Below are 26,638 nucleotides of genomic sequence, written 5' to 3'. Positions count from 1 at the left end.
ACATGCTTTTCTAAGGATGACAAAAACTCACACAATCCCTAGAAAGGCTGGTATGAACCTAGATTCCTCACAGCCTGACCTGCATTGGGGTCAGGAGATGTTTTGCTACTTCACATGTTTTGGTCACTGTTAAATCTTAAGGTACTTTGTTCTCCCTTGTGTGAATTCTCTCTTTAGATATGTCTTCTGACCATTTGTTTCTATTTCTGTGTTAACTGGGTCTAAACATTGTAAAAAAGTTGAAAACAAAACACTCCAATGGAAGTTTCCCAAGAGGCTGGTGTTCAATTTCTGAACTCACATGTAGATGTCTATTTTTTCCATAATCAATTTTACATTTTCCTCTGCCTCTGACAGCTGTCTCTTCTTTTCTGCTCACTCACGTTCTTTCATTCCCAGCTTCCTGAGGTGAGAAGGGAAATACATGCACACGATTCACTAGCCCATGTGGGATTCTCTCTTCCCTTCTGACGTCTGAAGGCCATGATTCGAAGGTCCTCTGCCAACCTTCCCATAAGTGAAGCAACTGATCCTTACAACTGGAGGAAGAATTGACACCTCCCATTGAGGGACAAAGAAAAATCACTCTGGCCTGCTAGCAAGTAACCTGTTATTTCCAGCTCATCTTAATAGGTCTATAGTCCTATTCTTTAGTAAGTAAAGACTATTACAAGCTTCTGTGAGATGCACTATGTCTGCTTCTGGGGTCAGCCTTGTGCTTGACACGGCAAAAGCTCATTTTAGTTTAGTGTGGAAAACCAGACCTCACCAAATCATCAAAACTAACTCTATCAGGATGGAGTAGGAATCACTACTCATCTTTCTCCTCCCGTGGCAGATCTGATTCTCTATCAGAGGCTAATGTCAGAATCCTGACAATCAGTCTTAGAGAGATCCTTCCAGAACATGGTGTCATTAACCCTGCAGTTCACCACTGTACATTTCCATAATTGAGGAATGGAACTCTCATCATCGACTTTAAAGCTCCTTATTGAGAGATAAGGCTAATTTGAGTGCTGGGCATATATACTGAATTAGAAATGATCTAAATGGCTCCTTAGTCAGGGTGTTATGTCCTGAAAATTGGTGACAACTGCATATCATCCACCCTGCTGTTGAGCAACTTTAACAAGGTTCAGTTCATAGAGAGTGAGTGCAGAAAAAGAAAATGGCCTAAAAAGGTAGGTTTGCTGTGTTGCCTTCACACTACTTGATTCATGGTTCTGACTCCAAGGATCTCACTTAATACTTGATTTCATATGGAGGACATGTAAAATTCCAATAACTCTAGGAAACAGGAACAAAAACTCTTCAAAGAGAAAGTTAATGCACTTGTTTCTGACCACCCAGGCCATCCTTCAACACATGCTGCCTGGAGTGACCTCAAGCAAGGAGTGTGTTGTGAGGTGCTAAAGCTGAAATGGGAGCAGGTTCCTGTCCTCACCCTAAATGAGGTCACAGTTTAGTGCAAGTGAAAAGCTAGTGAGGACATCACTACTCCTGCTGTGCCCTTGGAAACTAAAAAACACAAAACCTGAGTCTGGAAGGAATCTAAGGAAGGATTCTGCTCTTGAGTAGACACGAGTGCATCTGAGGTTTCTGATCTCCTATGAGAACAATGGGAAACACCAGACAGTATATAAAACCCATAATTTAATTCATCAAATTGCTAACACAGAAGTAAACGGACATGAGGCTGAGATGGAGAAGAAGAAAACTCAGAAAGAAGGTCAGTCTCACATTTGGAGCCCATTTCCCTGAGTTTCATCTTTGGATTCTGAAAGGGACTACTGAGATGCAAAGAAGCAGAGCAGCTTTTGCACACATGCATGGGATTAGATGGAAAAGAAGTGGATTGAGGGTCTGCCAATGAAGGTGACCCCTACTGAAGTCCACTGGCTTTGGTTGGAACCCAGAAGAATCACACACCAGCAATAGAGGTGGACAGGAAATACCCTGGCCTTTGTAGGGGCTGAGCCTGCACTGATGACCTCAGTTGCTGAGTATATAGAGGGCTGACTATCTAAAGGGCATCCAGGTGTGCTAGGAACCCTGACCATAACCCAGAAGTAGACTCCCATCTTTTCTGCAGCAAGATAAAATGCTAGTAGGCTTCGTTTCATTGCTAAAGATTATTAATCAGCATCTCACAATTAATTTAAATAGAGTATTCATATGGCAGAAAAATACAATGTAATATGACCAAAAGCTAAGACTGTGATAATGAATCCAGAGGTGACCCAAGCATTAAATTGAATGATGCCAGTACCAGTACCTCCTCTTCCCCCTAAAAAATTACAAACAAGAATGTAGGAAGGAAAAGAAAATATGAAGATTGAACTAATAAAGCATGAAGAAAAAACTCAATTTTATGCCCACTGAATTTGCCACAAATATTGCAGAAAATATTCTCAAGGACATTACAGTTGTCTACTTTCATTGGGACATGGTTCATACAACAGCATTTGTGTCAATGAATATCTTACTCTTCCTTGGCAGTCTTTCTTTATCTATAGATTTTGTAATTGCCGAGCTTCATCGTCACATTTTGGACTTCAGCTTCTACAGATCTCCATGAAGTAAAGACGTCTTGCAGGTCAATTTTAATTCCTGGAAAAGATAAACCCCTTTTCTTTGTATGCATACAGGTGGACCTGAATCGTTGGTTCAGGTGGGAAAAGAAGAAGGTGAGAAAGCTGAGGGCAAAAAGCTGTTTTTTCCCTTTCCAGGGCGAACTCACTTTCATGCTATGGGGACTCTGACAGATAGCATATGTTCCTGGCTAAGGCTATTGGACCTCCAGGCTTTCCACTGTTAATCCATGGATTCATCGTTTACATTTTATGACTTTAAGAAGGACTTGAGAGAAGACATTTAGCAAATAATAATTGAGCAATGACACGAATATACTTCAAATAACTGAACTGTAGACTTCAACGTGGTTAGATGGTAATTATCATGTTATGAATATTTTACCACAGGTTAAAATGTTTCACAATTTGAAAAGGAAGTAATTACCTTCAGTTCTCTGAGTTCTAGAATTTGTAACATTTCACCCCCTGCTTTTTCCTGACCTGCAGCAGAGCATCTTTCTTCTGTTTCTGCTCTGTTCAAAGTCCACTTTCCCTTCCCTGACACCAGCTTCACTGAGGCTGGTTTAAACCTAACAAAACGTTCTCACCAACTAATGAATTATCACAAAGAATTCCATATAGAGATTGTATGATCTTAATCTCCTAAGACATGAAATATTTGTTTTCATCATAGCCAAGATGCAATGTAAATCCTATGACAGATATGGGTTATATGCTTCTGAAATTCCTGAGCTATTTATTGAAATAGCATCTTTCAAGTTCTTTGTAGAAATTTTTTTTCTGATTTTTGCACCTAGAATAGAAACAAAAACTGTAGTAGGATTTTGATAGAAACAATAGGTGATCTAAAAAGATGAAAGAGCAACCACATTTATCCCACAGCCACTGCTTGGTTTCATGGGAAAAGTAGCTGGCACAGTTCAGAGCTAGGAGAAATGTCAAACACATGAAGAAATGAGAAGTGAAGAAACACTGTGAGCCACCCGCAACCTCCCTGCTTAGGAGATGATGCAGAAGTGTGCATCATGAGATGCATGAGAAGGTGCAAAGATGTCCAAGTCAAACAGCTCGACTGAACTTTTCTTAATGGAATATTTAAAAAGTGGTTCAATAAAAAACTTTCTCCAATTTACATTGAAAATTCTCTGTTCAAGACTAAGCGGGGTAGGGACTGTTTAATGTGCCTAGATATCTTCATAACTTATATATTTTCTGTTTTCTACATATCTTGAAGGGCAGTGCTGAATGATGTGTAATTATCTGGGTTGTAAAAATAAAACATACTTTCTCTTTCCTTGAATATAAACAATTATTGTGGTATTAGCATTTTTTATAGATCATTGTTCAGAAGAAGGTTCAGACCCTAGACACCCAGACACTTTTACTACAATGAATAGCAAGTGAAAATGTAGAGCTCAGTTTACCCAATAAATAAAAAGGCTTAAAAGCTAAATTACGGCACAACTTAGCTGCCAAATTCTTATCAAGTACAGACTTTTGACATACTGATCTCTCTCCAATTGCAACCGGGAACATGCACTTTGAATGATGTCATTTGAAATGACAACTTATTACCCTATCCAGACACACTTCTTATTTGTTATTTGGAGGGTTTTCTCTTCCTCATGAGATGCAGTGCTGTTCTTTTTTTCACCTTCCTGCAGTTTGTCGCCTCTTCCCTACAATCTCAGAGGAATTTTGTGTCAGGACAATTGTTTGTTCCTTGAGCTCTTTCATTTCCCCTAAAAATCATGTGGTGCCCCTCTAAATTACCTACATCTCCATCTCCCTCTCCCCTGGGAAGAGGGTGCTCTTTAATCATCAAGAATCTGGCTCTTGTTGTAGTCTCATTTTTTGGCTGGCTCCCATGTTTATGTCTGTTAATAAGGTTGTATGTTTTTCTTCTTCTGTTAAGCTGTCTGTTGTCAGATTATTTCTGCAGTGAACATTTAGAGAGGAAAGTAGAAGCTTTCCTTCCACCCATACCATAGAACTATAAGGCAGAAAAGTGTAGAAATAATTTTCTATTTAAGTGGTGAAACTTCATACTTTATTTCTGATAAAGAACACAATGGTAAAAAAAAACTTATTTTTGACTGAAAGCTCTGTTGACATTCTATTAAATGAACATCAAACTATTTAATTTTCATAATGTTAATGGCAGATTTTTTATAATTATTATGCTAATAAATCTTTTCCCTGAATTTTTTTTGTAAAACACAATATCCACAATGATAATGGCTTCTGATAAGATTCTTACACAGATTGTTCAGGATTTAGCTGTATGTTCTTGAAAACATCTTAATTTTAAATATTTCTTTCAAGATGATGAATTAAACAGAGACAGGCATTCAACAGGTAGGACTACACATATGCTGAGTCCTAAATGGAAAGAATTGAATTAGAAATCCATGCAACAATGGGAATAATTTCAGAAACATTGTGTTGAGCAGAATAAGGCAGACACAAAAGAGTACCTATGGCATGGCCTGCATCTATATACATGAAATTCTAGATTAAGCAAAATTAACCTATGATGAGAAAGGGATTGGCTGGGAAGAGAGACAGTTTCCTTTCTGGGGTGACATAATATTGTAGATCTTGAAAGGGGGTGGGAGTGTGCTGGTTTCAAAGTTAGTAAACTCACACTTAGGATTTGTATATTTTCTTCTATATCACTGTTCCTTAGAAGAAAATTTTATTAAAAAATACTGAATTTCAGTTAACGTTAGTCTTGCTAAACCATTCAGTGTGAAGTATGTTGATATCTCCAATTTAGTTGGAAATACATCTAAAACAAGATGAGGTGATGAGTGGATGGAGGAATGGAAAGATGGGTAGATATGCATTAAGTCATGTTCATTAAAATGTTAACAAATCAATGCTCTATGTATGAACATTTTTATAATAAAATGTTGATGGTAATTGCAAAAATCACTTGTCTCATGTCAGTGATTTTTCCTTTCAAGAAGAGTTCCAAAATAATTATTATTTATGTTCTATATGTTTGAACAATTTTAAACACAATATCAATTGGACGTTTTCCCTGTCAATTGATCATGGAATTGCAAAATGCAAGGATACACAGAGAAATCTTGCAAAGGGGCTGCTTTCTGGGTTTTGGTTTTCAGGACAAAGACCAAATGGAAAAATTAAGCCTCATGTCTCTTTCTAAGGTAGAGGATAGACACACTGTCACATGACTATACAAAGGAATTTTACTTAGTAACGAAAAAGAACAAACCATTAACATTTAAAATGATATGGATCAATGTGAAAATGATTCTTCTGACTTTACAGAATCCAGAACAACAAAAATACCTGTCCTGTACGATTCCATTACATGAAGTGGCAGCTCAGGGGAAGAATAATAGAATGGAGGGAGAAGGACAGCTGAATTAGAAAGAGGGAGGAGAAAACTTTGGAGAGGGAGGAATGTGTTTATTATCTTGAATCTGGAATGTGGTGATGCTTTCATTGCTGTATCCTTGTGTAAAAGTCAGCAAATTGTATTCTTTAGAAAGATGCTATTTACTACACAGGACATTACAAAACTTAAACTGTAGGAAGGAAATCTGATACCCAAACTATTAGTTTTTATTTATCTGACAAAAACATTGCAAATATTTTTGAAAAAATAATTACAGAACTTTACACAGAAATTTATAATTCAGTTTAAAATGGAGATAAAAAATACAAATTTACACTGGTCAGGAAGCCAAGGTCTTTTAAATATTTAGAATTTTGTCATACATTTTGTGTAATATATCCAAAAATATGCCAGCACTGTTTGGAAAAATAAGAAAAATATAAGAAAAAAATCTTAAAGTTATAGATAAAATTATTACATAAAGATATGTTTATATATCACAAAACTGACAGTGGGCAGCTGCTGTAATAATACCTGGGTTATATTCCAACAACAATAATCAGATTGTTGTTTAGCAGAAGTTTCTAAAAACACTAACCTTTAAAAATTAATGTTTACTTGCTGCTGAAACAGGGGACTTTATGTCAGATTTTCAAAGTCCATAAATATTATCATAAAATAGTCTTCTTGGAATTATGATTAATACTGTGAGAATTGAAGTTAGTTAAAAACACAATACCAGGTCACCAATCACAAAAGTTCACCTTCATATGTTAGAGCATTGCACCCAAAGCAATCAGTAGCAACTTGAAAATCCATATGGAAAGCAATACAAACTTTCTGGAATGAATGGCCAGCACCAAAAAAGGCACAGATATTATTTTACAAACACCAGATTTACAGGTATTGGGAGAGAAAATAAATTCAAAATGTAATTTAGACCAATCCACACACCAAGACTCAGTTTTGTGCATATAAAACCTCTGTATAAAGCAGCCTCTGAGCTCTGTAGCACTTTTGTCTTTAGCTTCACAGAGGAGGTGAGTAAAGCCTGGGCTCCTGGGAGAAATGCACTTTCTGTACCCTCTGTCTGAAAGGAAGCAGGGGCTCTGAACACAATTGTTAAAGATGTGAATCAGATGCACATGAAAGACAAGCGCCATCATAAGAGGTGGTGAAAGTCACAATCTTAACGTTTAGCTGGGCCCTGTTATGAAACTCTCTGTACCACCCCAAAAGTTCATACAATACACATTCATGTTTTAAACTATGTGAGCTTTGTACAAATATGCAACTCAGAACCTTACCTATTGCCCTAAGCCTAGCTATGAGAGGCAAATATCTCTTATTGTTTGAATCTCAGTATAAGCTTAATTGTCAAGTCTGAGAATGGAAGCGCGGTATATGTCATAATCCCATTTGTGGGCAAAAAACTAGGCAGGGGGGTAATATCCTTTAGGTGCTGTGCCAAGCAACATGTTACAATGCCCTCTCTAGGCAGGCCCTAGGAAGGAGGGTAACATTAATTTCGTGCTGGACCTAGCAATAGGACACAATTCCACATGTGGAAAAAACCCAGCCAAGAGATAAAAGACAAAACACCTACAGAACGGGCCCAAGATATGTCAAAATACCTTCTGTGGCTCCAGCACATGCAGGAGAGTCACATCATCAGGGTGCTGGGGCCAGCAGTGTGTCATAATTCCCTCTTTATGCAGGACCCAGGCAGAAGAGTGACATCATCTGGGTGCTGGGCCCAGCAATATGTTAAAATTCCCTTTTTGTGGGCATGGTTCAGAAAAGAGGAGAGTCACATTACCTAAGTGCTGGACTCAGCAATATGTCACAATTCCCCCATTGTAAAGGCCCAGGCAGAAGAAGAAAGTCACATCACTTAGGTCATGGGCTCAGAGATATGTCCCAATGTCCCCAATAGGCAGGGCTCAGGCAGAAAAGGAAAATCATATCACCTAGGTGCTTCTCGAGGTGTATATCACAATGTAACATGTGGGCAGAAACCAGGCAGAAGAGCCACATCACCTGGGTGCTGGGTCTTCGATATGTCACAAGCTACCTTAGGACAAGACCCAGGCAAGAGAGTTACATCACCTAAGTGCAGGTTCCACCCTTATGTCACAATGCTCCATGTGGACAGGGCCCAAGCAGGGTGTCACATCACCTAGGTAATATGCTCAGAGATATGTCACAATACCCTCCTTGGGGAATGGCCCAGGCAAAAGAGTACCATCATCTCTCTGCCTGGACTACACATATGTCATTATTCTCCCTGTGTGCAGGGCTTATTCAAGAGAGGAGAGTTACATCACCTAAGTGGTGGACACAGTGATATGTCACAATGATTTCTGTCACGATGGTGCAGGCAAAAATGTAACATCACCTGGGTGCTAGATGCAGTGATATGTCACAATCTTTACTGAGAGAAGGGGCCAGCAAAAAAAGTTACATCACGTAGAGGTTGGCCCAGGTAAATAATATCACAATCCCATATGTGGGCTGGAACTAGTCTGGAGAGTCAAATTACACAAGCACTTGGCAAAAACTTATATGACAATCACACTGGCAGAAAATTTCAGGAATGAGATTTACTATACCATACATGTCCTGTTTTTATGTATGACAGTTGGCTTCATTCATGTGAGACAGTGACAGTCTTTACTGTCAGCTGGGTGTGCATATGAGACTCAAAATTTCACCTGTGTGTTGGGCTTTGTTATGACACTGTCTGTATAATCCAAAAGGTTTGTAAAATATGTGTGGGTGTTGTAGGCTTCTGTGAACTTTTTAGCAGAAAAAGATCCAGGACATCACTCCTGTCCCTAAACCTAGTTACAAGCGTCAAAATTTCCCTACTTGGCTGGGTTCACATATGAGAGTCGTTATCATGCCTGTGAGCTGTGCCTAGGTACATGTCACAATCCCCTCTGTGGTTTTGAGACAGACAGAACAGCCACATCACCTAAATGCTGGGCCAGAAAAATTCCACTATTACCCTTGTAGGCAAGGCCCTGGCAGAAAATTCACATAACTTGAGTGCTAGGCCCAGCTCTGTGGCACAATGCCTCTTGTGGGCAGTGTCTAGGCAAGGGAGGGGATTCATATCACCTAAATGATGGGCCCAGAGGTATGTCACAATGCTTTGTGTGGACAGGGTTCAGGCAAGAGTCATATCATTTGAAAGCAGTGCTTGAAAATGCTACAATCTCCACAGGAAGCAGGGTTCAGGCAGGAGAGGAGAATCATGTAACCTAGATGCTGGGTATAAAGGTATGCTATAATCCCCCCCCTGAGGACACTGTTAAGACAGGAGAGTCAAATCATTACGGAGTGTGGCCCTGGTATATATCAAAATCTCATGTGTGAGCTAGACCTAGGAAGGGTTATTAAATCACTCAGGAGCTGGGCAAAGGTATATGTCACAAAAACACCTGTGGAAAGGTCCAGAGATGAGAGTCACCATTCTGCACATGTCCTGGCTTCAGGTATAAGAGGACTGGTCTCAGGTATATGGCACAATATCACCTGTGGGCAGGGAGAAGGTAGAAAAACCACATTGCCTGGGTGGGTGTGGGTCCAGTGAGATGTCACAATCCTCTTTATCGGGGAACCTGTCCCGATAGTCACATAGGTTCTTTTCTATTTTCCCTACGTGTCGGCCAGTTTGAGAAATAAAGGGACAGCGTACGAAAGAGAGAAATTTTAAAGCTGGGCATCCGGGGGAGACATCACATGTCGGTAGGTTCCATGATGCCCCACAAGCCGCAAAACCAGCAAGTTTTTATTAGGGACTTTCAAAAGGGGAGGGAGTATACGAATAGGGTGTGGGTCACAGACATCAAGTACTTCACAAGGTAATAGAATATCACAAGGCAAATGGAGGCAGGGCGAGATCACTGGACCACAGGACCTGGGGCAAAATTAAAATTGCTAATGAAGTTTTGGGTACCATTGTCATTGATAACATCTTATCAGGAGACAGGGTTTTGAGAGCAACTGGTCTGACCAAAATTTATTAGGCAGGAATTTCCTATTCCTAGTAAGCCTGGGAGCACTATGGGAGACTGGGGTCTATTTCACCCCTACAGTCTACAGACCATAAAAGACGGCCACGCCCTGGGGGCCATCTATAGACCTACCCCCAGGCGTGTATTCTCTTTCCCAGGGATATTCCTTGCTGAGAAAAAGAATTCAGCGATATTTCTCCCATTAGCTTTTGAAAGAAGAGAAATATGGCTCTGTTCCACCCAGCTCACCGGTGGTCAGAGTTTAAGGTTGTCTCTCTTATTCCCTGAACAATTGCTTGTTATCCTGTCCTTTTTTCAAGGTGCCCAGATTTCATATTGTTCAAACACACATGCTCTATAATTTGTGCAGTTAATGCAATTATCACAGGGTCCTGAGGCAACATATATCCTCCTCAGCTGACAGGATTAAGAGATTAAAGTAAAGACAGGCATAGGAAATCACAAGGGTATTGATTGGGAAGTGATAAGTGTCCATGAAATCTTTACAATTTAGAGATTGCAGTAAAGACAGGCATAAGAAATTATAAAAGTATTAATTTGGGGAACTAATAAATGTCCATGAAATCTTCACAATCCATGTTCTTCTGCCATGGCTTCAGCCGGTCCCTCTGTTTGGGGTCCCTGACTTCCCTCAACACCTCTTTATGGGCAGGAACCTGCCCATAGTTTTAAATTGCTTAGATGCTTGTTCCACGTATCACACAATTTCATCTGTGGTCTGGGTTTAGGAAGGAGAGTCAAATCACTCAGGGGCTGGGCAAAGTTATATGTCCCAGTCACACACTTGGAAAGGTTAAGAAGTAAGTTCCTGCCCATGAAGAGTCACATCACCTGGATGCTGGTTTCAGTGATATATCTAAGTCCCCCCTTTGCACAGGGCTTAGGCAAGAAGGGGGACTCACTTCACCTAGGCAATTGGCCTAGATATATGACACAATGGCTCTTATGTGCAGTACCAAGGCAGAAGAGTGCCCTCTCATTGGTGCTGGGCTGAGCAATATGTCAAAATCTCCCCTGTGGTCAAGGCCCAGGCAAGAGAGGAGAAACATCACCTAGGTGCTGAGCCAAGTGATATGCTACAAAGCTTCCTGTTGGCAGAGCTCAAAAAGGAGAGTCATGTCACCTGGGTGCAGTACCCAGTTATGTGTCATAATGCACCACAAGTGCAGGGACAAGGCAGTAGAAGGGAGTCACATCACTTACGTGATGGATCTATATATAAGCCACAATGCTCTTTGAAGGCAGGGTTCAGGCACAAAATTCACATCACCTGGGTGCTGGTCCCAGTGATTTGTAAAATTTCTCTTTGTAGGTAGAACCTAAGAAGGAGTTTTATATTGCTTAGGTGCTTGTTCCACGTATCACACAATTTCACCTGTGGTCTGGGTTTAGGAAGGAGAGTCAAATCACTCAGGTGCTGGGCAAGGTTATATGTCCCAGTCACACACTTGGAAAGGTTAAGAAATAAGTTTCACACTCCCACACAGGTCTTGGCTTCGGGTATGAGAGTCAACACCTCCTGTGAGTTTGGTAGAAGTACAGGAGTCACAGTTTCAACAATGGGAAAGATCCATGTGTAAGAGCCTCAATCCTAGTTGAAGATTGTGTTCCAGTAGAAGAGTCACAGCCTCACAGGTGTGCTGAATCATAGTTCAAACGTCACGAAACCTACTGTGGATCAGATCCATGTATGAGAGTAACAATTTCAACCTTCAACTGCTTTTGGTGTGTGAGATTTAGTACCTCACACATAGGCTCTGTTTATGTGTGAGAATGACAACCGTGTCAGCTGGATGTGCATCCGAGAGTCACAATCTCACCTGGTTGCTGGTCCCTGTTATGACACTCTTTGTACCACTCAGGCTTTATATAATATGCCTGTGTCATAATCCTCTGTGAACTTTATACAAGTGGAAGAACCAGGATTTTACCCTTGGCTGTAAGATTGGCTATGAGAGTCAAAATATCTCTACTGGCTGGGTCCAGGTATAAGAGTTATTATTGTGCATGTGAGCTGAACCCAGGTATATGGCACAATTTCTCCTGTGGGCAGGGACAAGGCAGAAGAGTCACATCACCTGGGTAAAGTCTCAAGTAGTATGTCACCAATCCTATTATAGAAAGGGTTTAAGAAAAAGAGAAGAGTCACACTACCTAGTTGCTGGGCTCATAAATATGTAATAATCCCCTCTCTTGGCAGAGTCCAGAATAGAAAGGAGATACATACAACCCAGGGCACAAGCTGGAGAGACACATCATCTAGCTCATAGGCCCAGAGATATGTGATAATATCCCCTGTTGACAGGGCCCAGGCAGAAGAGTCACATTCATATGATTCTGACGCAGTGATATGTAACAATGCACCCATGGAAAGGAATTTAAGGAATAAAGTCTCAACACCTGGGTACTAGGCCCAGTGATATGACACAATCTCATCATCTTTGAGGGTGACACCTTTAACTTTTAGCTGAGTGTGTATATTAGAGTCACAATCTCACATGTGTGCTGGGCCAACGTATAACCCTCTCTATGACATCTGAGGGCTTTATAAAACCTGCATGAGAGTTGCAGACCTCTCTGAGGCCCACATGCTCGTATGGACTCACAATCTTACATATTGCCCTAAACCCAGGTTTGATAGTCAACATCTCTCCTTTAGGCAGGGTTAAGGGAGAAGACCTATTATTATGCCTGTGGGCCGGGTCCAGAAATGCGTCACCATCCCACCTGTGGCCAGATCCACGTATAAGAGTCACAATTCCAACTTTGTGCTGTATTCCCTTGTTAGACTCAGGACCTCAAGAGTGGGCACTGTAAACGTGGGATGGTGACAACTTTTAATTTCAACTGGGTGTGTAATTGACAGTCCCAATCTGAACTTTTTGCTGGACCCTGTTAAGAAACTCTCTACCACCAAAGACTTTATACAATATAAGTTAGTATTGTAAGCTTCTGTGACCTTGGTACAAATATGCAACTCAGGACCTTACCTATTGCCCTAAGCGTAATGATGAGAGGCAAAATATCTCCCATTTGCTGAATCCCAATATAAGTTTAATCATCATGCCTGTGAACTGAAGTAAGGTATATGCCATAATCCCATTTGTGGGCAAAAACTAGGCAGGAGGGTAACATCACTTAGGTGCTGGGCCAAGCAACATGACACAATGCTTTCTCTAGGCAGGGTATAGGAAATTGGGCCACAATAACTGGGTGCTGGACCCAGCAATATGACACCATCTCACGTGGAAAAACCCAGCCAAGTTATAAGAGCCAAAACACCTACATAATGGGTCCAAGATATGTCAAAATACATTCGGTGGCTCCAGCACAGGCAGGAGAGTCACATCATAAGAATGCTGGGCCAAGAAATATGCAATATGCCACAATTTCCTCTTTTGCAGAACCCAGGCAGAAGAGTAACATCATCTCGATGCTGGGCCCTGCAATAGGTCCAAATTCCTTTTTTGTGGGCATGGTTCAGCAAAAAGAGGAGAGTAACATATTCTGAGTGCTGGGCTCAGCATTGTGTCAAAATCCTCCTATTGTGAAGGCTGAGGCAGAAAAAGAGGGTCACATCATCTAGGTCATGGGGTCAGAGGTATGTCCCAATGTCCCCAGCAGGCAGGACTCAGGCAGACAAGGAGAGTTATATCACATAGGTGCTTCCCTAGGAATATGTCACAATGTAACATGTGGGCAGAGACCAGGCAGAAGAGCCACATCATTTGGGTGCTGGGTCCTGAGACAGGTCACAAGGCTCTCTTAGGACAGCACCCAGCCAAGAGAGTTACATCACCTGGGTACAGGTTCTCTGCTCATGCTACAATGCTCCATGTGGGTAGGGTCCAAGGAGGGAATCACTTCACCTAGGTGATAGGCCCAGAGATATGTCACAGTGTCCTCCATGAAGCATAGCCCTGGTAAAAGAGTACCATCACCTGTGTGCCTGGCCTAGAAATATGTCACTCTCCAGATTGGCAGGGCCCAAGCAGGAGAGTCGTATAACCTAGGTGATATGCCCAGAAATATGTCACAATGCCCTGCTTTGGGCATGGCTCTGGCAAAAGAGTACTCTCATCTCTGTGCCTGGCCTTGCAATATGTCACTATCCTTCCTTTGTGCAGGGCCCATTCCAGAGAGGAGAGTTACATAACCTATGAGGTGGACACATACCCTAAACCCAGGTATGACAGTCAACATCTCTCCTTTGGGTTGGCTTCAGGGATGAGAACATTATTATGCCTATGAGCTGGGTCCAGAAATGAGTCACCATCCCAACTGTGACCAGAATCACTTAAGAAAGTCACAATTCCAACTTTGTGCTGTCTTCACTTGTTAGATTCAGGACCTCAACAATGGGCTTTGTAAATGTAGGATGGTAACAACTTTTACTTTCACCTGAGTGTGTAGTTGAGAGTCACAATCTTAACTTTTTGCTGGGCCCTGTTATGAAACTCTCTGTACCACCCAAAAAGTTTTTATGATATGAGTTAATGTTGTAAATTTCTGTGAGCTTTGTACAAATATGCAATGAAGGACCTTACCTATTGACATAAACCTAGTGGTAGGGGGCAAAGTATCTCCTATTGGCTGAATCCCAATATAAGCTTGATAATCATGCTTTTGAACTCAAGCAAGGTATATGTCATAATCCCATCTGTGGGCAAAAAATCTAGGCAGAATGTTAACATCACTTAGGTGCTTTGCCAAGGAATATGTCACAATGCTCTCTCTAGGCAGGGCCTAGGAAAGAGGCTCACATTAACTGATGGCTTGAGCCAGCAATATGATACAACCACACGTGGAAGAAACCCAGCAAACTGATGAGAGCCAAAACACCTACAAAATGGGCCAAAGATATGCCAAAATACCTTCTGTGGCTCTGGCACAGGCAGGAGAGTCACATCATTAGGGGGCTGGGCCAAGCAATATGCCATAATTCCCTCTTTATGCATGACCTGTTTATGCAGAAGAGTAACATCAACTGGGTGCTGGGCTCTGAAATACGGCAAAAGTCCTGTTCACGGGCATTGTTCAGCAACAAGACGAGAGTCACAATACCGAAGTGCTGGGCTCATCAACATGTCACAATCTTCCCATTGTAAAGGCCCAGACAGAAGAGAGTCCCATCACTTAGGTCAGGGGCTCAGAGATATGGTCCAATGTCACCAGTAGGCAGGGCTCAGGCAGAAGAAGACAGTCATATCATATAGGTGCTTCTTTAAGTATATGTCACAATTTAATATGTGGGCAGAACCCAGGCTGCAGAGCCACATCACCTGGTCCTGGGTCCAGAGATATTCACCAGTCCCCCTTAGAAAAGGATCCAAGCAAGAGAGTTCCATCACCTAGGTGCAGGTTCCACCCTTATGTCACAATGCTCGATGTGGGCAGGGCCAAGCAGGAAGTCACATCACCTAGGTGATAGGCCCAGAGATATGTCACAAAGCCTTCCTTAAAGCATGGCCCTGGCAAAAGAGTACCATCACCTTTTTGCATAGCCTAGCAATATGTCACTATTCAAGTGGTAGGTCCCAAGAAGAGCCATATCACCTACATGATAGGCCCTCTGATATGTCAAAATGTTCTCTTTTGGGCATGGCCTGGCAAAAAAGTATCATCACCTGTGTGCCTGGCCTAGGAATATGTCACTATTCTGCCCTGTGTGTAGGGTCTTTTCCAGAGAGGAGAGTTACATCTTCTAAGTGATGGACACAGAGATATGTCACGATGATGTCTGTGGGCATGGTGCAGCTGCGTGCTGGATCCAGTGATGTCACAATTCTTACTGAGAGTAGGGCCCAGGCAGAAGAGTTCTTTAACACTTCAAGGTTGGCCCAGGTAGATATCAAAATCCCATATGTAGGCTGGAACCAGTCTGAAGAGTGAAATCTCACAGGTGCTTGGCAAAGATTTATATCACATGAAATTTATATCACATGACTATCACGATGAAATAAAATTTTAGGGATTAGATTTACAATACCACACATGTTCTGTTTTCATGTAGGACAGTTGCCTTCATCCATCTGTGATGGTGAAAGTCCTTACTGTCAGGTGGGTGTGCATATGAGACTCACAATTTTCTCCATGTGCTAGGCCCTGTTCTGACACTCTCTATACAACCCAAGGGTGTTATAAAATATGTGTGTGTTATAATCTTCTGTGACCTTTTTACCAGAAGGAGACCCTTTACATCACTCATGTCCCTAAACCTAGTTATGAGTCAAAATTTCTCCTATTGGCTGGGTCCACATATGAGTCATTATCATGCCCGTTAGCTGTGCCTAGGTATGTGTCACCATCCCCTCTGTAGTTATTAAACAGGCAGGACAACCACATCACCTAAATCCTAAGCCAGAAATATTCCAATATTCTCTTTGTAGGCAGGGCCCTAACAGAAAAGTCACAAAACTTGGGTGCTAGGCTCAGCTCTATGGCATAATGCCTCTTGTGGAGAACATCCAGGCAGGAAAGGAGAGTCGCATCACCTAAGTGATGGGCCTAGAGATATGTCACAACTCCTGTTAAAAGGGCCCAGGCAAGAGAGTCATGTCATTTGGATGCAGTGCTTAGAAATGCTACACTCTTCACTGGAAGCAGGGTTCAGGTAGGAGAGGAGAGTCACATAACCTAGATGATGGGTCCAGAGATATGTGACGGTCCCTTCTGAGGACACTGTTAAGATATGAGAGTCAAATCACCAAGGTTCTTGGCCCAGGTATACGTCAATATGTCATCTGTGGGCTATAACAGGCAGGATTATTAAATCACTCAGGAGGTGGGCACAGGTATATGTCACAATAACACCTGTGGAAATGTTCAGGGATGAGAGTCACCATCCTGCACAAGTCCTGGCTCCAGGTACAAGAGTCCTTATTAGGCCTTTGATCTGGTCTCTGGTATATGGCACAATATTACCTGTAGGCAGAGAGAAGAAAGGAAAGTCACATCAGCTGAGTGGGTGCTGTTCCAGTGAAATGCCACATTCCTCCTTGTAGGCAGGACTCTGGAAGAAGAGTCACATCACCTGTATGCTGGTTTCACTGATATATCTAAATCCCCCCCTGTGGGCAGGGCTTAGGCAGGAGAGGAGTCAAACTTCACCTTGGCAATTGGCCTGGATATATGTCACAATGGCCCTTACCTGCAGAACAAAGGCAGGAGAGTGACCTCACCTTGGTGCTGGGTTCAGCAATATGTCACAATCTCTCTGGTGGTCAGGGCCAAGGCAAGAGAGAAGAAACTTCACCTAGGTGCTGAGCCTAGTGATATGTTACAAAGCTTCCTATTGACAGAACCCCCCCCCCCCCACCAAAAAAGACTCACATCACCTGGGTGCAGTACCCAGTTATGTGTCACAATGCACCATAAGTGCAGGGCCAAGGCAATAGAAGGAAGTCACATCACTTACATGATGAATCTAGATAAAAGCCGCAATGCTCTGTAGGCAGAGTTCAGGCCAAGATTTCACATCAGCTGGGTGCTGGTCCCAGTGATATGTAAAAGTGCCCTTTGTCGCACTGCCAAAGAAGGTGTTATACATTGCTTAGGTGCTTGGTCCCCGTATGTCACAATTTCAACTGTGCTCTAGGCCTAGAAAGGAGAGTCCAAACACTCAGATGCTGGGCAAAGTCATACTTCCCAATCACACACTTGAAAATGTTCAGAAAAAAGTTTCCTAGTGCCACACAAGTCCTGGCTTCGGGTATGAGAGTCAACACCTCCTATGAGTTGGGTCGAAGCACAGGAGTCACAGTCTCAACAATGGGCAAGATCCATGCATAAGAGTCCCAATCCCACTTGAAGACTGTGTTCCAGTAGGAGAGTCAAAGCACCACAGGTCTGCTAAATCATTGTTCAAACATCACCAAACCCCCCGTGGATCAGATTCATGTATGAGAGTAACAATTTTAAGCTTCGACTGCTTATGTGTGTGAGATTTAGTACCTCATTTGTAGGCTGTCTTCATATGTGAGAATGATAATCGTGTCAGCTGGGTATGCATCCAAGAGTCACAATAGCACCTGGTTGCTGGTGCCTGTTATGACACTCTTTGTACCACTCAGGCTTTATATGACATGCCTGGGCAGCATACTTTCCTGCAAATTCTTACAGGTGGGAGATCTAGGACTTTACCCATGGCCGTAAGACTGGCTATGAGAGTCGAAATATCACCCCTGGCTGGGTCTAGGTATGGGAGTTATGATTGTGCATATGAGCTGAATCCAAGTATATGTCACAATTTCACCTTTGGACAGAGACAACACAGAAGAGTTACACCATCTGGGTGCTGAGCCAGGGATACAGTATAATCTCCTTTATAGACAGGACCCAGTCAGAAGAGTCATATCAGTTGGGTACAGTCTCAAATAACATGTCATCATGCCCACTGTATGCAGGATTGAAAAAATAGTGGATAGTCACATTCCCTAGATGCTAGGCTCAGCAATGTTATAATTCCCTCTCCTGGCAGAGTCCAGGATAAAGAGGAGAGTCACATCACCTAGGTTTTGCACTCAGAGGTATGTCACAATTTCTTCAGTGGGCAGGATCCAGGCAGAGGAGGATAGTCACATTAGCTACATGCCATATCTAGTGATATGTGTCCCCTGTGAGCAGGGCACTGGCAAGAGAGAGACATTGCCCAGCTGATAGGCCCAGAGATATGTGATAGTATCCCCTGTTGGCTGGGTCCAAGCAGAAGAGTAACATTATGATTCTGACCCAGCAATATTTCCCAACGCACCTGTGGGAAAGAGTTTAAGCCAAAAAGTCTCAACACAGGGGTACTAGGCCTAGTGATATGACACAATCTCCTCATCTCTTAGGGTGACATCTTTAACTGTTAACTTGGTGTGTATATAAGAGTTACAATCTCACATGTTTTCTGGGTCATTGTATGACACACTCTACAACATCTGAAAGCTTTATACAACATGCATAAGAGTTGCAAACCACTCTGAGGCCTACATGGTCATATTGACTCGCAAACTTACATATTGCCCTAAACCCCGTTATGATAGTCAACATCTCTCTTATAGGCTGGGTTCAGACAGGAGACCCATTATCATGCCTGTGATCTGGGTCCAGAAATAAGTCACCATCTCACCTGTAGTAAGATCCACATATGAAAGTCACAATTTTATCTTTGTACTTTATTTACTTGTTAGATTCAGGACTTCAACAGTGGGCTTTGTAAAAGTGGGATGGTGACTTTTGCTCTCACCTGCATGTGTAATCAAAAGTCATGACCTTAACCTTTTGCTGGACCCTCTTATGAAACTCTGTGTACCACCCAAGGAGTTTTCAGAATATGAGTTAGTGTTGTAACCTTCTGTGAGCTTTCTACAATATGCAACTCATAACCTTACCTATTGCCCTAAGCATAGCGATGAGAGGCAAAATATCTACTCTTGGTGGAATTCCAATTTAACTTTGATCATCATGCCTGTGAACTGAAGCAATGTAAATTTCAAAATCCCATTTGTAGAAAAAAAAAAGTGGCAGGAGGGTAGCACAACTTAGGTGCTGTGGCAAGCAATATGTCACAATGCCCTCTCTAAGCAGGGTCTAAAAATGAGGGTTACATTAACTGGGTGCTGGACCCAGCAATATGACACAATCCCAAATGTGGAAAAAAACCCAGACAAATGATGAGAGCAAAAACACCTACAGAATGAGCCCAAGATATGTAAAAACACCTTCTGCTTCTCTGGCACAGGCAGGAGAGTTATATCATCAGGTGGGGGCCCAGCAATATGCTATAATTCTCTCTTATGCAGGACCCAGGCAGAAGAGGAACAGCATCTGGGTGCTGGGCCCTGCAATACATCAAAATTCCTTTTCACGGGCATGGTTTGAGACAAAAAGAAGAGTCATATTACCTAAGTATTGGGCTTAGCAATATGTCATATCACCCCATTGTAAAGGCTCAGGCAGAAGAAAAGAGTCACGTCACTTAGGACACGGGCTCAGATATATGGCCCAATGTCCCAACTAGGCAGGGCTCGGGCAGAAGAGAAGAGTCATATCGCCTAGGTGCTTCCCTAGGTATATAACACAATCTAACATGAGAGGTGAAAGCAAGCAGAAGAGCCACATCATCTTGATGCTGGGTCCTGAGATGTGTCACAAGGCTCCCTTAGGACAGGCCCCAGGCAAGAGAATTATAACAAAAAGGTGCAGGTTCTACCCTTATGTCACAATGCTCCAAGTGGGCAGGGCTTGAGCAGGGAGTCACATCACCTAGGTGACAGGCCCAGAGATATGTCACAATGTCCTCCTTGAGGCATGGCCCTGGCAAAAGAGTACCAACATCTGTGTGCCTGGCCTAGCAATATGTCACTATCCAGGTAAGCAGGACCCAAGCAGGAGAGCAACATCACCTAGGTGATAGGTTCAGAGATTTGTCACAATGCCCTCTTTAGGACATGACCCTAGCAAAAGTGTACCTGTGCGCCTGACCCAGCCATATGTTACTATCCCCCACTGGGTGCAGGGCCCATTCTAATGAGGAGAATTACATCACCTAAGTGGTTGACACAGTGATATGTCACAATGATTTCTGTGGGCATGGCTCAGGAGAAAATGTAACATGACCTGGGTGCTGGATCTAGTGATATGTCACAATTCTTACTGAAAGCAGGGCCCAGGCAAGAGAGTCACATCACCTAGAGGTTGGCCCAGGTAGAGATCACAATAACATATGTGGGCTGGACCCAGTCTGGAGAGTCAAATCACACAAGTGCTCGGCAAAGATTTATACGACAATCACAATGGCAGAACATTTCCAGGATAAGATTTACAATACCACATGTCCTGTTTTCATGACTGACAGTTGGCTTCATATATGTGAGACGGTGACAGTCCTTACTGTCAGCTGGGTGTGCATATGAGACTCACAATTGGCCGGGTGTGGTGGCTCATGCCTATAATCCCAGCACTACAGGAGGCCGAGGCGGGCGGATCACGAGGTCAGGAGATTGAGACCATCCTGGCTAACACGCTGAAACCCCATCTCTACTAAAAAATACAAAAAATTAGCCGGGCATGGTGGCGAGCACCTGTAGTCCCAGCTACTTGGGAGGCTGAGGCAGGAGAATGGCGTGAACCCAGGAGGCAGAACTTGCAGTGAGCCGAGGTCGCGCCACTGCACTCCAGCCTGGGCGACAGAGCAATACTCCGTCTCAAAAAAAAAAAAAAAAGAGACTCACTATTTCACCTTTCTGCTGGGTTGTTATGACACGCTCTGTACAAGCCAAGGGCTTTATAAAATATCTGAGGCTGTTATAATCTTCTTTGTTCTTTTCCTTTTTTTTTTTTTTAACAGAAAGAGATTTAATCACTTGTGTTTCTAAAGAAAGTTATGAGAGTCAAAATTAATCCTATTTGTGGGATCCACATATGAGAGTCATTATCATGCCTGTGAACTGTGCCTAGGTGTATGTCACAATTTACTCTACAGTAATGAAACAGGCACGACAGCTAAATAACATAAATGCTGAGCCTGAAATTTTCCAATATTCTCCATATAGGCCTGTTCCTGGCAGAAAAGTTGCATAACTTGGGGGTTACCTCCAGATGTATGGCACAATGCCCCTTGTGGGCAGTGTCCAGAAAGGAGACTCATATCACCTAAATGATAGGCCCAGAGATATGTCACAATGTCTCCTGTTGAAAGGACCAGGCAAGAGAATCATATTATTTGGACGCAGTGCTTAGAAATGCTACAATCCCTAGTGCAAGCAGGGTCCAGGCAGGAGAGGAGAGTCAGGTAACCTAGATGGTTAAGTCCAGAGACATGTTACAATTCTTCCTGAGGATATTGTTAACACAGGAGAGTCAAATCACCAAGATGCTCAGCTGAGGTAATTTTCCAAATCTCATTTGTGGGTTACACTTAGGCAGGATTATTAAATCACTCAGGAGCTAGGCAAAGGTATATGTCACAATAACACTGGTGGAAAGTTCCAGGAATGGGAGTCACCATTTTGCATATGACCTGGCTCCACATTTAAGAGTCAGGATTAGTTCTCTTATCTGGCCTCAGGTATATGGCACAATATCACCTGTGAACAGAGAACAAGCAGGAAGGTCACATCATCTGCGCGGGTGCTGGTCCAGTGAGATGTCACAATCTTTCTGTGAGCAGGACCCTGGAAGAAGAGTCACATCATCTGGATGCTGGTTTTAGTGATATATCAAAATTCCCCCTGTGGGCAGGTGTTAGTAAGGTGAGGACACTGACTTCACCTAGGCAATTGGCCTAGATCTGTGTCACAATGGCCGCTATGTGCAAAACCAAGATATGAAAGTGACCTCACCTTGGCACTGGGTTTAGCAATATGTCACAATCTCCTCTGTGGTCAGGGCAAGGCAAGAGAGGAGAAAAATCACCTTGGTGCTTAACAAAGCTTCCTGTTGGCACAACCCAAAGCGCAGAGTCATATCACCTGGGTGCAGTACCCAGTTATGTGTCACAATGCATCATAAGTGCAGGGCCAAGGCAGTAGAAGGGAGTCACTTCACTTACATGATGGACCTAGATATAAGCCACAATGCTTTTTTTTTTTTTTTTCCCCGAGATGGAGTTTCACTCTTGTTGCCAGGCTGGAGTGCAATGGTGCAATCTCGGCTCACTGCAAACCTCCGCCTCCTGGGTTCAAATGATTCTCCTGCATCACCTCTGGAGTAGCTGGGATTACAGGTGCCCACCACCATGCCTGGCTAATTTTTTGTGTTTTTAGTAGAGACGGGGTTTCACCATGTTGGCCAGGATGGTCCTGAACTCCTGACCTCAGGTGATCCACCCGCCTTGCCTCCCAAAGTGCTTGGATTACAGGCATAAGCCACTGCGCCCGGCCAGCCACAATGCTTTTTATAGGCAGGGATCAGGTAAAGAATTCTCATCACTTGGGTGCTGGTCCCAGTGATTCATAAAATTGCCCTTGGTAGGCAGGCCCAGGCACCTTTGCTTAGGTGTATGGTCCACATATGTCACAGTTTCATCTGTGGTCATGACCTGAAAAGAAGAGTCGTTATTCAGGAGCTGGGCTTTTATGGTCTAATTACACACTTCGAAATATTCAGAAATAAGTTTCACAGTCCCACTCAAGTCCTGGCTCTGTGTGTGTGAGTCAACACCTCCTGTGATTTTGGTCAAAGCAGAGGACTCACAATCTCAACAATGGGCAAGATCCATGTATAAGATGCCCAATCCCACCTGAAGATTGTGTTCCAGTAGGGGAGTCCCAGCCTCACAGGTGTGCTAAATCATGCATCACCAAACCACAAGACAATGATGTCTACTTTTACCACTTTTATTCAACAGAGTACTGGAAGTCCCAGTCAGATCATTTATGCAAGAGAAATAAATAAAAGACATCCAAATAAAAAAGGTGAAAGTCAAATTGCCTCTGTTTGCAGATCACATAATTGTCTATATAGCAAAAGTTAAATACTACACTAAAAATCGTTAGAATTAATAAAGAAATTCAGTAAAGTGGCAGAATACCAAATTAACATACAAAAATTAGTAGGAACATTTTTACATGACAAGAATAAGCCATCTGAAAAAAAATTCAAGAAAAAAATCACTTACTACAGCTATAAAAAATAAGTCCTACTTCATTCTAAGTTCATGCTTGTGGTAAGGTTCACCTTTATTTTTTGTCATTTGGATATTCAGTATTCTCCAACCCATTTGTTAAAAAGACTGTTCCTTTCTCATTTTGAGTGATAGAGACAGTAGATAGCCAAGGGACCTTTTCCTATTTTGAGTCAGAGACAGGAGACAGTCAAAGGTCCTGGGCGAAACTCCGCCTTCAAGCCTAAAAAACAGCCTGAAGGCTGAAAAACTGGACTGCTGGTTTCAGATGAAGCCCGCCCTTTCCTGACTGTTTCTCTCTGAATAATGCCCACCTGTGCACTGGGAAAAGAAGTTGGAGCCATAGAAATTCACACCTTTTGGCAGAGGAGGAGACTGGACTCTTCAGTTGCTATGTGGTGACCTGGTGTTCATCAATATGTGAGGTGGGGGCCCGTTAACAGGAGTCCCTCTCACTTTGCTGACAGTTTTTTTTCTTTTTCCTTTTTGCCCAATAAACTTTACTCCTCACCCTTCAGTATGTCTGTTAGCCTATTCGTTCCTGTTCATGTGATAAGATCCTAGTTTTAGACGAACTACGGAAAAAGTTCTACATTTCGGTGTCTAGATGTGGGGCTTGAGGAAGGGTAAGATGTAAACCAAAATATCTTTTTCTACTTTGCTTGTAAGCCTTTTTATCCTTGGACTTCTCCGAGGGTAGAGGAAACTGTGCACCACCCCAACAGCCCCAGGCATATGCGGGATGGACAGGTGAATGGCGGCTCCTCACCCCCATCTCCTCTGGGCTGGAAAATGCCAGGCATTCACGGTGTCTTCCCCTTCACCGGCCAAGCGATCCAGCCTCATCCAATAACAATTAAGTTTTTCCCTCTGTTGAAGGAATCATTTGCATAAGAATGAAAATGTTCTTCCCTGCCCTACACTTAAGCCTTTCCCCCCCTTTTATTCACCCTGTCAGCAGTGTACTTTTAAGCAACAGGCTTTCTTCTTCTTCTTTCTTCTTCTTCTTTTCTTCTTCTTCTTCCTTCTTTCTTCTTCTTCTTCTTCCTCTTCTTCTTCTTCTTCTTCTCCTTCTCCTTCTCCTCTTCTTCTTCTCCTCCTCCTCCTCTTCTTCTCCTCCTCCTCCTCCTCCTTCTTCTTCTTCCTCTTCTTTCTTCTTCTTCTTCTTAGAAACTGTTTTGCTGGTCTAGGACCTCAATGGTCACTGCTTATATTTTTTATAGAGTTTTAATAGTGAAAGGGTATTTGTGAAGTTGGTCTTGAGCTGTGGCCAATCTGGTGTGCTTTGTATGTCATTCTCTATGGTTGTCAGGAAATTTTGCTGTAGGCCTCTATCTTGTTTTATGTTTTCAGGAGCATGACCTGTAACCACGTGGCAATGTTCTGTTTTGGTCTCTGCCATTTTACAATGGTAGCCCAGGTTTAATCCTGGCTTAGGGAATAAGTCCCTTCTGGTTTCCTATCAGCATGTAAATTTTGCCATTTGCAGATTCTCTTCCCCTTCACAAACTGCCTTAATTTTTTGTTTTTCCACTGAGCACCTGGTAAGTTACCTTTGATAAAGTTTGAAAGCCAGAAATACTGGCTACTTGGCACTGCTAGAGTCAGGTAATAAGGAATTTAAAAGGATTTTCTTAAAGAGTGCTCAACTTAATTAAAAGTGGATATCCAAATTATAGGTATATTTAAAAAACCTTTATGTTTTTCTCTTCTGGGATCTTGTTTTGCTGGGGAAAGGTTTTTTTCTCAGCCAATTGAATTTTTTATTTTGTCTTGCCACTGTAATGCATGCATGAGAGGCCAGTAATTCAATAAGGAAATTGGCAAATAAAAAAACCTTATGGCTACTGGGTTTTCTTCTGCCTGTCTGTGTAGTTATGTATGTGTTGTGTGTGTGATGTCTATAAAAAAGAGCTCTAATAAATTTACTTAAAGAATGATAAGCACTTGGATCAAATATTTTTTGAAGGGAAGAAAAAAGCTGTGTACCTTTTAGTTCACATGACTGTTACTCTTTGAGAAATGAAAACAGCCTTAAAGATTATTGACAAAACACAAATGTCATCAATATATGAGTAGGTGAACTAAATTATGCAGGTCAGATACTAAGTTTGCTATATGTTTTAAGGTTATAAACTGCTTTTTTGGTTTTTTGGAACAGTTCAACTTTGCTTCACAATTGTAAGACCGGAAGACAAATGGAATTAACCACACCCTTAATTATGCTGAAAGCAGCCAAACCCTTGGCTGCACCTAGCACATAATGAAAACAATTTACCTGGTTTTACATTAAAGTAGAAATTGCTAGAAGTTACCATTGTAACATGTAATTGAAACCACTGGAAGTAGATTTACATACAAGGTGTGTAAGAACAGTCAAATGTGTTTTAAATAAAAGATTGTAAGAAGGCATGGAAATATAAATTATTGCCTAGAGTCAAACAATTGTTTTGAATTACACAAGATAAAGCTAAAAGTTCAAACAAGTTGTAGAAGGATTGTAAAAATAAATCTTGCCAAAAAAATTCTGTGTGAATATTAATTAAATTCAAAAAGGTATTATATGGGTTTTTTATAAATTGAGCATTGACATAAAAGCACAACAAGGTACACTTAAGGCACTAATCTGCTCTTTAGCAACATTTGTAAAGAATTTAAAATTAAAAGTTTTTGCTTTTTACATTTCTAAGTCATCATTTTGGTTAAATAAGTAATTTATGGTAATCTGAAATTTTATTTCATAACATCAAGTGTTTTAAACCCCTAACATGTAACATCCTTCTCAAAATCAAACTCTAGTTACAAAATTGTCTTTCCTAATTCCTGGCTTTTTGGTGCTAAAGAGGGCTCCTGGAGTATCCACAAGAGAGGTAAACAGGATTATATGACAGGTTTAGTTACATACAATCGCCAAAATGGTGTTCAATATTCTTTAGATGATACTGTGGTGAATAATACTAATACGTGTTCCAAAATTGTATGGGATTTCTAAAATTCTAATGTCTGAAGTATATGCTAT

General features: G+C 42.0%; 1 long non-coding RNA gene across 4 annotated transcripts; it reads right to left on the bottom strand.

Annotated features, from left to right (window-relative positions):
* Positions 1-6,168: 6,168 nt before the first annotated feature.
* Positions 6,169-20,976, bottom strand: LOC105375321 (uncharacterized). 4 transcript variants are annotated; one of them, XR_007060355.1, is made up of 2 exons: positions 19,898-20,976; positions 6,169-16,931 (listed from the first exon to the last, which is right to left on the bottom strand). It is a non-coding gene; the product is annotated as an uncharacterized LOC105375321 (long non-coding RNA). The 4 variants fall into 4 exon arrangements; XR_001744931.2 differs by lacking the exon at positions 19,898-20,976 and adding an exon at positions 19,385-19,887; XR_007060353.1 differs by lacking the exon at positions 19,898-20,976 and adding an exon at positions 17,425-19,378.
* Between the last annotated feature and the right edge of the window lie 5,662 nt (positions 20,977-26,638).

This window comes from Homo sapiens, chromosome 7, assembly GCF_000001405.40.
Source record: "Homo sapiens chromosome 7, GRCh38.p14 Primary Assembly".
NCBI classification, from domain to species: Eukaryota; Metazoa; Chordata; class Mammalia; order Primates; family Hominidae; genus Homo; species Homo sapiens.
The sequence above is the reverse complement of the archived record's forward strand: the minus strand, read 5'-3'. Positions and strand labels throughout refer to the sequence as shown.